The 12,906-nt window shown below is 45.6% G+C and overlaps 1 annotated feature.

Annotated features, from left to right (window-relative positions):
* Nucleotides 8,120-8,621: an enhancer, noted in NCBI's record as "NANOG hESC enhancer chr18:74445026-74445527 (GRCh37/hg19 assembly coordinates)". NCBI's record gives its function as "activates a minimal SCP1, AML or CMV promoter by ChIP-STARR-seq in naive H9 embryonic stem cells {active_cell/tissue: H9 hESC(naive)}" and the evidence as "EXISTENCE:reporter gene assay evidence [ECO:0000049][PMID:30033119]".

Genomic DNA, 12,906 nt, shown 5'->3' with positions numbered 1-12,906 from the left:
AGACCGTACCACTTTGATATCCCATTTGCCAGACTTGTTTTTGCAAACTTCTTTTCCATAGGAAGATGGTACTGTGGATGCGCCATCCAGGTGTGTGCCTGGAGGTGGTGAGGACATACTTGCTTTGATCTGTTTGTACTTGCTCCCCAGGCTTCTTGATGAAAGACCTGACACATCTCTTTGCTCGGGGCACATATCCTTAGATAAAGTGTCCAATAAAAGTGGAGATTCACAGTCTGACACACTATAATGTATTGATAAAAATAACAAAAGAGAACATTTGAAATTATGACTGCCTCAAAAAATATGGGACACAGGATCACAGTGCCCATAAGAAAATTCAGCCTGGGATCCTAGCCTTGTAAATTTCTCATTCTAAGCAGCCAAAAAACAGCAATTCGCTGACATCTTCCTTTTCATCTTGCTTTTTCTCTGTAGCAGTCAAGAATGGCCCAGATTGGCTGGGCACAGTGGCTCACACCTGTAATCCCAGCACTTTGGGAGCCAAGGTGGGTGGATGGCTTGAGGTCAGGAGTTCAAGACCAGCCTGGCCAACGAGGTGAAATTCTGTCTCTAAGAAAAATACAAAAATTAGACAGGCATGGTGGCACGCGCCTGTAGTTCCAGCTACTAGTAGGGAGGCTGAGGCGGGAGAACAACTTGAACCCGGGAAGTGGAGGTTGCAGTGAACTGAGATCGTGCCACTGCACTCCAGCCTGGGTGACAGAGTGAGACTGTGTCTCAAAAAAAAGAGAATGTCCCAGATTTATCACTATCGGAAGAGAAAGAAGAAGAGCAATGATAACAGAAACTATTTGCATTTATTTTATAACCATTTGCAAATAGTATTAATTATAATATTGTAATCACTTCATTACTAATTTTAAGAAAATATTCTGATTAAAGAAATCTAAAAGACACTGCCATTGGATTGGAAGGAAAGGGGTCTGTCATCCAAACAGATTATTCTGAATTTGCGATGCTTAAGTAGTGCTCTATCATTTCAACTTCAAGTGTCACAGGCTGTAAATGCTGCCAGCAGTTTGGATCCGATGCCTCCGAGGAGCTGGCCTTTCGAGAACATAATTTAAGCGTCAGGAAGATGTGGGTGGTGAGTCAGCGATGACTCAGGCAAGGAGGCACTCTCAGTCCTGCTGTACTGTACCTTCTTTGGGAACAGTCACTTGGCTTTTTCAATGTTTCTTCTTTATTTTCTTTTTTCTTTTTCTTTTTTTTTCTGAGATGGAGTCTCGCTCTGTCCCCCAGGCTGGAGTGCAGTGGCGCCATCTCAGCTCACTGCAACCTCCATCTCCTGGGTTCAAGTGATTCTCCTGCCTCAGCTTCCTGGGTAGCTGGGATTACAGGCAGGAGCCCCCACACCTGGCTAATTTTTGTATTTTAAGCAGAAACAGGGTTTCACCATGTTGGTCAGGCTGGTCTCAAACTCCTGACCTCAAGTGATCTGCCCACCTCGGTCTACCACTTCTTTATTTTCTAAGTGACCTTAGCATGAATCGTGGTGTGTGGTCTGCCTTCAAGTAGAGAAGCTTTTGATCATAATGAACAAAATGTCTCTTTAATGTCTCAAATGACCCTTTCAGATATCTGGCATGAGGTTAATTGGGGTATTCATTGGTTGCTGGAAGTGCCACTCTGCTCTGAGAGATGTTCTCCATCCAGATGGGACCCGGGAATGGAAAAAAAAAACACCCAGCCAGCCAAGGTGTGCACGTGGAGCCCCCTGTTCCCTGGTGCGTGTGTGAGTGTCCAGAGAACACCTCTGGGGTCCCCATCGGGAGACGTGAAGGCTCATCTCATGACTGTGCGCTGCATCCCCTCGGTCGGTCTCTGCTGGGTTCTCAACCTGGAGAGAAGCAAACCAGCCAGCCGGCTCCCGCCTCAACCTGGTTCAGGACTGCGCTGTCGGAACACCACCCTCGCGATGCTGTGTCTCCCTGTTCACACCTTCTCGCATGCTAGGACTTCACCCCACCAGACTCATGTGTGCCTTCTCTACGATGACAGGAAAAGAAAAGAACCTGAGCATCACGAGGGGCCAGGGGCTGCCCAAGCAATCTCCCTCTTTGCTCCCGTGTGGGCCACACAGCAGGAGCTTGTTAAAAATGCAGATTCTCAGGCCCACCCCAGATGTGCTGAGATGAGATCTGCACTTCCACAAGGTGTGCAGGTCATTTGTGGGCAGGTGGAAGTGAGAAGCACTGGGCTGGGCGACTGTCTCTGGCCTTGAGCTGTCTGGGGCGCTAAGCAGCGTTAAGAATGCAGGAGGCTGAAGCAGGTCTAAGTGTGAGTGTGAAAAAAAGGCAAATTGAGGAAAAGTATGATTGGAGAAGAAGGGAGGGAGGGAGGAAGGAAAGCAGCGAGGGAGGAAAGATGGGAGGAAGAAAGGGAGGGAGGGAGTACAGGAGGGAGGGAGGGAGTACAGGAGGGAGGGAGTACAGGAGGGAGGGAGTACAGGAGGGAGGGAGGGAGGGAGTACAGGAGGGAGGGAGGGAGTACAGGAGGGAGGGAGGGAGGGAGTACAGGAGGGAGGGAGGGAGTACAGGAGGGAGGGAGTACAGGAGGGAGGGAGGGAGTACAGGAGGGAGGGAGTACAGGAGGGAGGGAGGGAGGGAGGGAGGGAGGGAGGGAGTACAGGAGGGAGGGAGGGAGGGAGGGAGGGAGTACAGGAGGGAGGGAGGGAGTACAGGAGGGAGGGAGGGAGGGAGGAAGGAAGGAAAGAAGGGAGGGAGGGAGGGACAAAAGGAAGGAAGGGAGGGAGGAAAGGAAGGAAGGAAGAAAGGAAGGGAGGAAGGAAGGAAAGAAGGAACGAAGGAAGGAGAAGATATACAGGAAGATGAATGTGACTGAACGCTGAAGGGCTATGAACAAGGCTTAAGACTTTAGGTCCAAACAAAAGACACAATAGCACTAACTTGTCTTCAGGTTATTCAATCTAACATGGAACTCCAGGGCTCAATAACAGAGTTTCTCTTGACATGTGCGTACTTTGTGCCTCTTCGTAAGAATTTGGGACATTATCAGAACAATGGGCCATGACTCTGGGATTCTAATTGGTATTTTCAGAAGGTATACTTTTTCCTAATACAACTTCAGGTTCATAACCTTGTCTTTCTGTTTCCTTTGAATGCAAAGAAGGGGTTATGATATCTTAAAACCTTGTGTTGTATTTAGGAATATTGTTTCCCTCACTCCCTCACTCCAATATTCTGAGACGAAAGGAGCGGCTAGACGTCCACTGGGCGTCAGCCTCTCATTCACAGAGCTGCTCTGTCAACAGGCCTAGTATTTCCAAAGAATGCATTTTATCTTTTCAATGATATAAATTTTTAAAAATTATGAATTTAGGGCATTTTTTTGTGGCCACGCGTGACCAAACAACAAATGTTAGTAATTGGAAGAACCGTCAGAGTGCTTCTCTTTGTGGCTGTTTTTGGTATTAATAGTCGAATGCAGTTTACTTAGGGGAAATGTTGAAAACCCACTGAGGCCAAGGACTGTATTTCCTGCAATGCTGAACCTCCACCTCCCAGTGAGCATCTCTTAGCCAATGACAGGCACACAATAAGCACTTGATAAATGTTTCCTTAATGAATCTGCATGATATTTAGCCCCAAAAGTTGTCTTGTGCCTCAGTCAAGGAGAGGAAGCCTGAGGCCCCTGCATCACTGTGCTTGCTGCCTGAGCAGGGGCTCTACTGGGAGGCCCCCCCCAGGGCCTGGGGGTCCCCTTGTTTTCCTTGCTCGAGATATGCCCTGGGTTGAACACTCTCCCCCCAAATTCACACCACCTGGAGCCTTTGCATGTGACCTTCTTTGGAGATAGAGTCTCTTTAGATATGATCCAGTTAAGATGAGGTCATAGTAGATTAGGGTGTGGGCCCTAAATCCATGGACCACTTATGTCCTTAAAAGAAGGGGGACATTAGAACACAGACACAGAGAGGACCCTGAATGCCATGCAGAGATGGAGGCAGAGATCAGAAGGATGCAGCTAGAAGCCAAGGGGTGTCAAGAAGTGCCCAGAACTCCCAGAAACTGGGAGAGGCAGGAATCTATTGCAAATGAAGCCAGGCACCCAGGGGTGCAGATGTATCAGTCAGGGAGGCTCAGGCAAGGCACAGGATCCAAACAAGTTAGTCAAAGGCCCAGGCCCAGCACCCTTGACCCTTGGGAACAGCACCCACAGGAACAGTGTCTGACTCCCAGTGGAAATGCAATGATCCATTCTATCAATGCGTCAGTGACACCCATCCTCCACTTTGGGGGATCCATTCTATTAATGAATTAATGACACCCATCCTCCACTTAGGGGGATCCATTCTATCAGTGAATCAGTGAAACCCATCCTTCACTTTGGGGGATCCATTCTATCAGTGACCAGTGAAACCCATCTTCTACTTTGGGGGATCCATTCTATCAATGAATCAATGCAACCCATCCTCCACTTTGGGGAATCCATTCTATCAGTGACCAGTGAAACCCATCCTCCACTTTGGGGGATCCATTCTATTCATGAGTCAATGAAACCCATCCTCTACTTTGTGGGGAATGATCCACTTATTCCAGCGGATATCTTAACATTTTGAAAGTATTTCCTTTCACATCTGTGTGGGAGAACTCACGACTTCACCATGGAATGAGAAACCCGAAAGGTTGATTATACTCTGGAGGCCTCGGTGAAAAGTCAGTTCTTGGTGGAGAGCGGGTGGTGGTTGCACAAAGATGGTTTTCAAGTCTGAGTATAAGTAAATGTTATGTTTTGGAACACGCCCACCAAATCGACCCCAGAACTGCATTTGCCTCCTGGAAATGTTCAGCAAGGTCTGCCATGAAATGCAGCCAGGACCTCTGGAATGAGTGCAGATTTTAACAAAACCCTGATCTCACAGGCACTGGGGTTTCTATAAGTAAATTGATAGTCGACACAGCTTTAGCTATAGCGGTTCTCAGAGGTACACCCACAGCCCTGTGCACGTGTCCTTCTTAGGTCATGAATCACCAAGTCATTCTTCTTGGACACTCCAATCGCCGGTGAGAGGTAACATGGTTCCCATCTGCAGTGAGGAAACTGAGCCTCAAGAGGTTCAGGGGACATGAGGACCCCCAGGGCTTCCACACCGCCTCCATGCCGACTCCCCAACACTGCGCGGAGAGGTGGCCTCTTCCTCATAGAGGGTGGGCTGCACCCCATGCGCAGAGGACACCGCCGTCAGTCCTGGCTGACGACCCTGCACTCCCTCCTTGGCGTGTCCTAGATACACGTGTGCGAGATCTCAGTGTTAATTGTGCTTTTGTTGTAACAGGGCCACGCAGCGTATTCCTCCACAGACCATGCTTCATTTCATCTCCGGGATGAAGGCGGATAAAAGGCTTTTCTGTCCTGTGCTGCTGTTTGCTGCTGCCTCAAAACAATTCTGCAAAACTGGTAAGAAGCAAAGCTTTTGTTGCTGCATATGGGAAGGAGAGTGTCGCCTGTCAGCTGTGGCACATCCCGTCCTGGGTGCAGCTGGTCACCCTTGCAGGGCGAGCTGCAAAAGAGACAGTGGATTCCTTTGCCACGTTCTTGCTGCCTCTCAAAATAGAACTGCTTTAAAGTTGTCACTCTTGAAGTCATTCCGTTAATTTGTTTCTGATATCTGCTTATTTTATGTCTGCCTTTGACTTTCTTTTTCAAATGTCACCACATTGTGCTTTCTCTTCCTTTAAAAGAATTCCAGGGTGGTTCTTTCTCTCCCATCCTCACTATGGCATCTTTGGCTTGTATTTTCAGCACTTGCCTCCTTTTAAAAATTGCTTGACCCAGGTGGGCATGGTGGCTCATATCTGTAATCCCAGCACTTTGGGAGGCCAAGGCAGGTGCATTGCTTGAGGGCAGAAGTTCGAGACCAGCCTGACCAACATGGTGAAATTCGTCTCTACTAAAAATACAAAAATCAGCCAGTCGTGCTGGGCGTGCCTGTAGTCCCAGCTACTCAGGAGGCTCAGGCAGGAGAATCGCTTGAACTCGGGAGGTGGAGGTTACAGTGAGCTGAGATTGTGCCACTGCACTCCAGGTGGGGTGATAGAGCGAGTCTTCGTCTCAAAGGAAAAAAAGAAATTGCCTTACCCGTTTTTTTTGTTTTGTTTTGTTTTGTTTTGTTTTTTGATTTTTTGAGATGGAGTCTTGCTCTGTCGCCCAGGCTGGGGTGCAGTGGTGCAGTCTCGGCTTATTGCAAGCTCTGCCTCCCGGGTTCACGGCATTCTCCTTCCTCAGCCTCCGGAGTAGCTGGGACTACAGACGCCCACCACCACACCCAGCTAAATTTTTTGCATTTTTAGTAGAGACGGGGTTTCACTGTGTTAGCCAGGATGGTCTCGATCTCCTGACCTCGTGATCCACCCACCTTGGCCTCCCAAAGTGCTGGGGTTACAGGCATGAGCCACCATGCCCGGCCTTTTTTTTTTTTTGGAGGGAGTTCTTAAGACTTTCTCCCAAGAACACCCTGAAAACTGCTGACGGACTTGAGAGCTTCTGGATTCCATGAACTTCTGGACAAATGCATCGGCTGTGGGATAGTCTCAGCTTTGAACTTCAAGATTCCAAACCTGAGAAAAATGAGAAACAGAACTTCAGTTTGGATATTCAGATTTTACATTTTTCAACATTAAACTAGGAATTTTCCTCTCATCTCGGTCCAGTGAGCCCTTCTAGAAATGGGGACCATTCAGTCCTCTGTCTCATGGGGCTTTTGTGTACAGATTGGTGGCCGATTGCCTGCAAGTCTGGGAACACCCATGCATGTTGAGGGTTCCAACAACCTTCTGGCACACCAGCCAGCTGACCCCTTAACTGGATTAAGGAAGACCTAGAAAACTGGCCAAGCATTATTTTTGGATGTGTCTGTGATGGTGTCTCCAGAGATTTACACGTGATCTGAGTGGACCTGCGGGGGAATGTCCACCCTCAATGATGTGGGCAGCAACCACCCAGTCAGCTGCAGACCCGCAGAGAAGGAAAGCAGAGAAAAGGGGAATGTGCTGGTCTATCTGCTGGAGCCGAGATACACCCTTCTTCTCCTCTCCTCGACATCAGAACTCCAGGCTCCGGCCTTTGGGCTCCAGGACTTACACACCAGTGGCTTCCCCACAACACCCAGGTTCTGAGGCTTTCACCCTTGGACAGAGTCACCTAATCAGCTTCCCTGGTTCTCAGGCCTTGGACTGAGAGTCACCTGAGGTCAGGTGAGAGTCCTGAGGTCAGAAGTTTGAGACCAGCCCCGCCAATATGGTGAAACCCCGTCTCTACTAAAAATATAAAAATTAGCCAGGCATGGTGGTGGAAACCTGTAATCCCAGCTACTCAGGAGGCCAAGGCGAGAGAATCACTTGAACCAGGGAGGCGGAGGTTGCAGTGAGCTGAGATCACGCCACTGCCCTCCAGCCTGGGCGACAAAGCGAGACCCTGTTTCAAAAGAAAAAAAAAATCTAACCAGGTGTTCTATATAACATGAATTCAGGCCATCATTGTCTTTCACCTGGATTATTAATATAATTCAGATCTCCAATGTCAATACTACTGTGATAAGTTCAGATTCATCTGCATGCTGTTAAAATATTTCAATGTTTGAGAGAATATGATGCTCCAATCTTTTGATTTTTAAGCAGATTGTTACTTAAAATTTTATCATTTCTAAGAGGTATTGGAATGTTTAAACACCTTGACATATTATAAGTTTAATTTATTATATTTATAACAATAGTTTACATGCTTGGTGTGTTATTGCTGAGTAGAATTATAAATTGGTTCCTGTCAGGAATTTGAATCACTATACAAGAAAAAATAATTTATTAAATGTAAATGTAGTTCAAAATGCTTTATATATATTTTTTTGAGACAGGCTGCCTGTCTCAAAAAAAGACAGGCTCGCTTTGTTACCCAGGCTGGAATGCAGTGGTGCGATCTCGGCTCTCGCCACCTCCACCTCCCAGCTTCAAGTGATTCTCCTGCCTCAGCCTCCTGAGTAGTTGGAATTACAGGTTCATACCACTACACCTGGCTAGTTTTTGTGTTTTTAGTAGAGTCGGGGTTTCATCATGTTGACCAGGCTGGTCTCGAACTCCTGGCCTCAAGTGATCCACCCTCCTCAGCCTCCCAAAGTGCTGGATTACAGGTTTGAGGCACCATTCCCAGCCAAAATGCTTTATATAATTTAAATAACTAAGTACATAAGTATTAATTATTATTGAAGATAGTTTAATCTGTTCAACTAGAGTAAACAGAAAATCGTTCTCAAGTTTCTAAATTTACATAGAGTACAGTCAGATTTTTAAGTTGTATTTAAAAACCTAATGAGGAGACTGATTTGAGTAATAATAAAACTCCAGTCTCCCGCAGAGCCGGCTTTGTGTGAATTACCCTTTCCCTATTGCAATTCTCCTGTCGTAATGAAAGGGCTCTGTCTAGGCAGTGGGCAAGGTGAAACCCTTGAGCGGTTACAAATTTGGGGGCTTATCTGGGATTGCCCTTGTGGCTACCCGCCCATGGTTCAGTGGCCCCCATTCAGTGATGGATCCAGAAGCCAGCCCAAGTGGCAGCCTGGTTCTCTTGGACTGGCGGAGGACTATGGTATTCTCTCCACTCGGGGGACACTGCCAACCCAATGTGCATGGGTTTAATTACAACAGAGAAATGTCATGGGGAGACATCCCTCAACTGTAGCCCTATCACAGGGTGTCTGTCTGTAGCCCCATTGTAGGTTGTCTGGATTGGTGAGTATCCTAGGCGCTGCCAACGCCTCCTTCCTTCTCCTGACTGGTTCTCTAGCCCGATGGTGGGGTGTCTGTAGCCCCATTGTGGGGTGTCTGTTTGTAGCTCCACCATGGGGTGTCTGTGTCTGTAGCCCCACTTTGAGGTGTCTGTTTGGCTCCTGGGGGTTCTTGGTTGGCGCTTTGTAACTAGTAGGAAGAGTCTTGGTTTGGGAGACTTCTCCTTAATCAGGAAGATTTCGAGGAGGTTTCTCAGAGAATAAGAGGGTAGTTTGGAAGGGATACTCTTGGAGTTCTTGGTTAGGGATCTGATTTGGAAGGCCTCTGTCCTCTCGTCTTTGTGTGTGGTTGTATATGTGGAAGGGATCTCAGAAGGGGTTGCTGATGGAAGTTCAGCAGGCCTAACTCAGAGAACCCTCCTTATTTGTCTGGTCACATTTGATGAGCCCTAAAGAAGGCTCAACAGATCTGTCTCGGGGTGACTATCTGCTCTTTGCCTTGCCCAGAGACCTCATTGTGAATTACCATTCGGAGGTTGTCCCTCCCCATCTGGAGGGAATCACAGACAACAGAGACCAACAGGAAAAAGTTTGAGCTTTGCCAGGTTGATATTGGGTGCTGAAGGAGGTGACTAATGTTTGTTTTGTTATGTGTGTTTTGCTGGGATGGAAAATGTTAATTCGGTCCCCCATGCAGCCTATTGGGCAGCATCCTGCAAATTAAGAATCTTGCCTATGGTTCCATAAAGCAGGAAAAGGTGGGCCGGGCGCGGTGGCTTACGCCTGTAATTCCAGCACTTTGGGAGGCCAAGGCAGGTGGATCACGAGGTCAGGAGATCAAGACCATCCTTGCTAACAGACTGAAACCCCATATCTACTAAAAGTACAAAAAATTAGCCAGGTGTGGTGGCATGCACCTGTAGTCCCAGCTACTCAGGAGGCTGAGGCAGGAGACTCGCTTGAACCCAGGAGGCGGAGCTTGCAGTGAGCCAAGATTGGGACACTGCACTCCAGCCTGAGCGACACAGGGAGACTCCACCTCAAAAAAAAAAAAAAGCAGGAAATGGTGATTTTCTTTCATAAAGTGGCTTGAACCTCACGGCTATGGCGCAGTGAGCAAGGTCATCAGAGGCTGCTCTGTTCTGGAAGCTGCAGAGAAAGGGAGCCTAGAAACCTGGTACGCCAGCGAAAAAGGGTAAGAAATTCTTACCAGCCAGGTTTCTGGTGTCTCTCTCTTTCTCTGTCTGGGTAAATAGTAAATGTCACTATTTGTCTCTCTGCAAGGGTTTGATTAATAGAAAAAGGATTTGTGAGACTAGTCTTAGGTGGTAGAAAATCTGGTGTACCTAGTGTTAAGAATTTGTCTTTCCGTGTTCTGTAATGGAGAAAGGAGTATCACAGGATAGAATGTGGGTTTAAGACCCACTTTCAAGCCCACTTTTCAAGCTAGCCTGGCAGGCTGGTCAGCAAACTTTGCTGTGGGTCCCTGAAACCAATACAGGATGAAATTTCTCTGTCTTCTTTTGTGTCCTTAAGAGCTTAACCTGTGACCATGTGGGGATACTTTCTCTTGGTTTCTAGAAGACAGGAATTTGGAGATTCATGTCATAGTTAGCCCTAAACATTTTCTTGAGCAGTTAAAAGCCTTTGCAAGCTTGAAATGGACTTCTCTAGGCTCCTTCTGGGAAGAGCAATAGAAACTGCTCAATGCTGTAACTCAGTAGCTAGGGCTTTGCCTTTTGACAATGGCGGCCTGGGGTCTATTTTTGGCTTCTGGAATGATTCCCTTCTGGTTTTTTATTTATGTAACTTTGCCATGTATTGAGGTTTCCCCCCTGCTATAGCTGATTTCCTGTCTTGAATTTTCCTTTCTCTAAACTACCCAGGGGAGATTCTAAATCTTAAAAGAAAAAAAAAAAAAAGCAACTGCTTACCATCTCTTTGAGACACGTGTGTGTCCATGGTTAAGTTATAACCTTAGTTAAAACTTATTAATTTCATGTGGGAAGTTACCTGTGGAATTCAAATGCCAAAAATATTGGCCACTTGGCATGGCTAAAGTTGGGTAATAAACAATTTAAAAGGATTTTTTTTTTAGGTTGAAGAGCGCTATGGTTAAAGGTCAGCTTAATTAAAACTGTATAAACAAGCAATAGGTATATTTAAAAGGCTTTTATGTTTTTCTCTTCTTGGATCTTGCTTTTTCTGGATAAAGGTTTTTGTTCTTCTCAGTTGACTGAATTATTTTTCTCATTTTTTTTTTGTCTTGTTAATCCTTTTTTTTTTTTTTTTCTTTGTGGTGGAGTCTCGCTGTCGCCCAGGCTGGAGTGCAGTGGCGCAATCTTGGCTCCCTGCAGGCTCTGCCCCCTGGGGTTCACGCCATTCTCCTGCCTCAGCCTCCCGAGTAGCTGGGACTACAGGCGCCCGCCACCTCACCTGGCTAATTTTTTTGTATTTTTAGTAGAGACGGGGTTTCACCGTGTTAGCCAGGATGATCTCGATCTCCTGGCCTCGTGATCTGCTCGCCTCGGCCTCCCAAAGTGCTGGGATTACAGGCGTGAGCCACCACACCTGGCATGATCTGACTTTCATTACACCCTTATCCTGGCACCCTCATCCTGGCATCAGAGAAGACTGAGTGGGGAGCTGGACTTTCCTCCTCACCTGGCATTAACGAGGCTCCCTCGACAGTGTCATTGGAGGCTAAGAAAATCTCAACTTGAGTGAGAAATACAATCAACGGACACTAACAACAAGATGACAGAGATATTGGGATTATTTGACAAGGGTTTTAAGACAGTCACCATAAAAATGTCTCAACAAGCAATTACAACAAACTTGAAACAAATAAAAAAGAAGGCTGAGCAAAGAAATAGTAAATCTAAGAGGAAACACATGAGCATTTTAGAAATTAAGATTACAATAATTCCATCCACTCCATGGATCAGCTCAGCAGCAGAATGACAGAGGAAGGAGACTACTGATGTTGAAATTTCTAATGTTCTGTCATTAGAAATTACCCAATCTGAACCACAGAATAAAAAAAAAAAAAGCTAAAAATAAAATGAACAGAGCATCAGGGACAGAGCCTCAGGGACAGGTAGGACTATAACAAAAGACCTAATGTTCATGTCAAAGTCTTAGAGGAGAGGAGGGAGAGGGTGGGGCTAAAAAGTATTCAAGAAAATGATTGAGGAAAAGTTCCAAAATTTAGCGAGACTTAAACCTACAAATCCAAGAATCTGAGTAAAAGTCCTGAACAGTATAAACCCCAGAATTACACAACAAGACTCATCATAATCAAACTTCAGAAAACTAAGAACTAAAAATAAAATCTTGAATGCAGAGATAAAAAATCAACACCTTACCTACAGAGGAACAAGTTGAATGACCATAGATTTCTTGTGAGAACCATGAGAGTCAACAGGAAGTGGGATAACATTTTCCGAGTTCTGAAAGCAAAGAACTGTCAATCTGAAATTTTATATCTAGGAAAATTATCCTTGGGATGAAGGAAAAACAAAGATATTTTCAGAAGAAGAAAAATGGAGAAAATTTATTGTTAGCAGACCTGCTCTAAAGAACAGCTAAAGAAAATTTCAAAACAGAAAGGAAATTATGAAAGAAGGAATCTTGGAACACCAGGAAGGAAGAAAGAACAGGAAGAGCAAAAATATGGACAAATACAATAGGCTTTCCATTGAAAGACAATGAGTCTTTCAAATTACATTTGACAAAGCAAAAATTATAATGCATTCTGATATGGTTCTAAATATGTGTGGAAGAAATGCTAAAATAATTATCAAAAAGGGAATCAAGGGATTTAATGAGAGTTAAGATTTCTACACTCCACTCAAACTGGTGGAATGTCAACAGCAGTAGACTGCTAAGTTATATGCATATATGTATATATATTTATTTATATAATGTAATACCTAGAGCAACTCTTAAAAAACCTATACAAAGAGATATACTCAACACATTATAGGTAAATAATGGATTCTAGAAAGAGTTCAGGAAAACAGGAGAGAGAGACAGAAATAGAACAAACGTGAAACTAAAAGATGAAATGGCAGCCCCAAGCCCTAACATATCCATAATTACTTTAAATGTAAATGGTCTAAATACACCAATTAAAAGAC

The sequence above is a fragment of the Homo sapiens genome, chromosome 18, assembly GCF_000001405.40.
Source record: "Homo sapiens chromosome 18, GRCh38.p14 Primary Assembly".
NCBI lineage: Eukaryota > Metazoa > Chordata > Mammalia > Primates > Hominidae > Homo > Homo sapiens.
The sequence above is the reverse complement of the archived record's forward strand: the minus strand, read 5'-3'. Positions and strand labels throughout refer to the sequence as shown.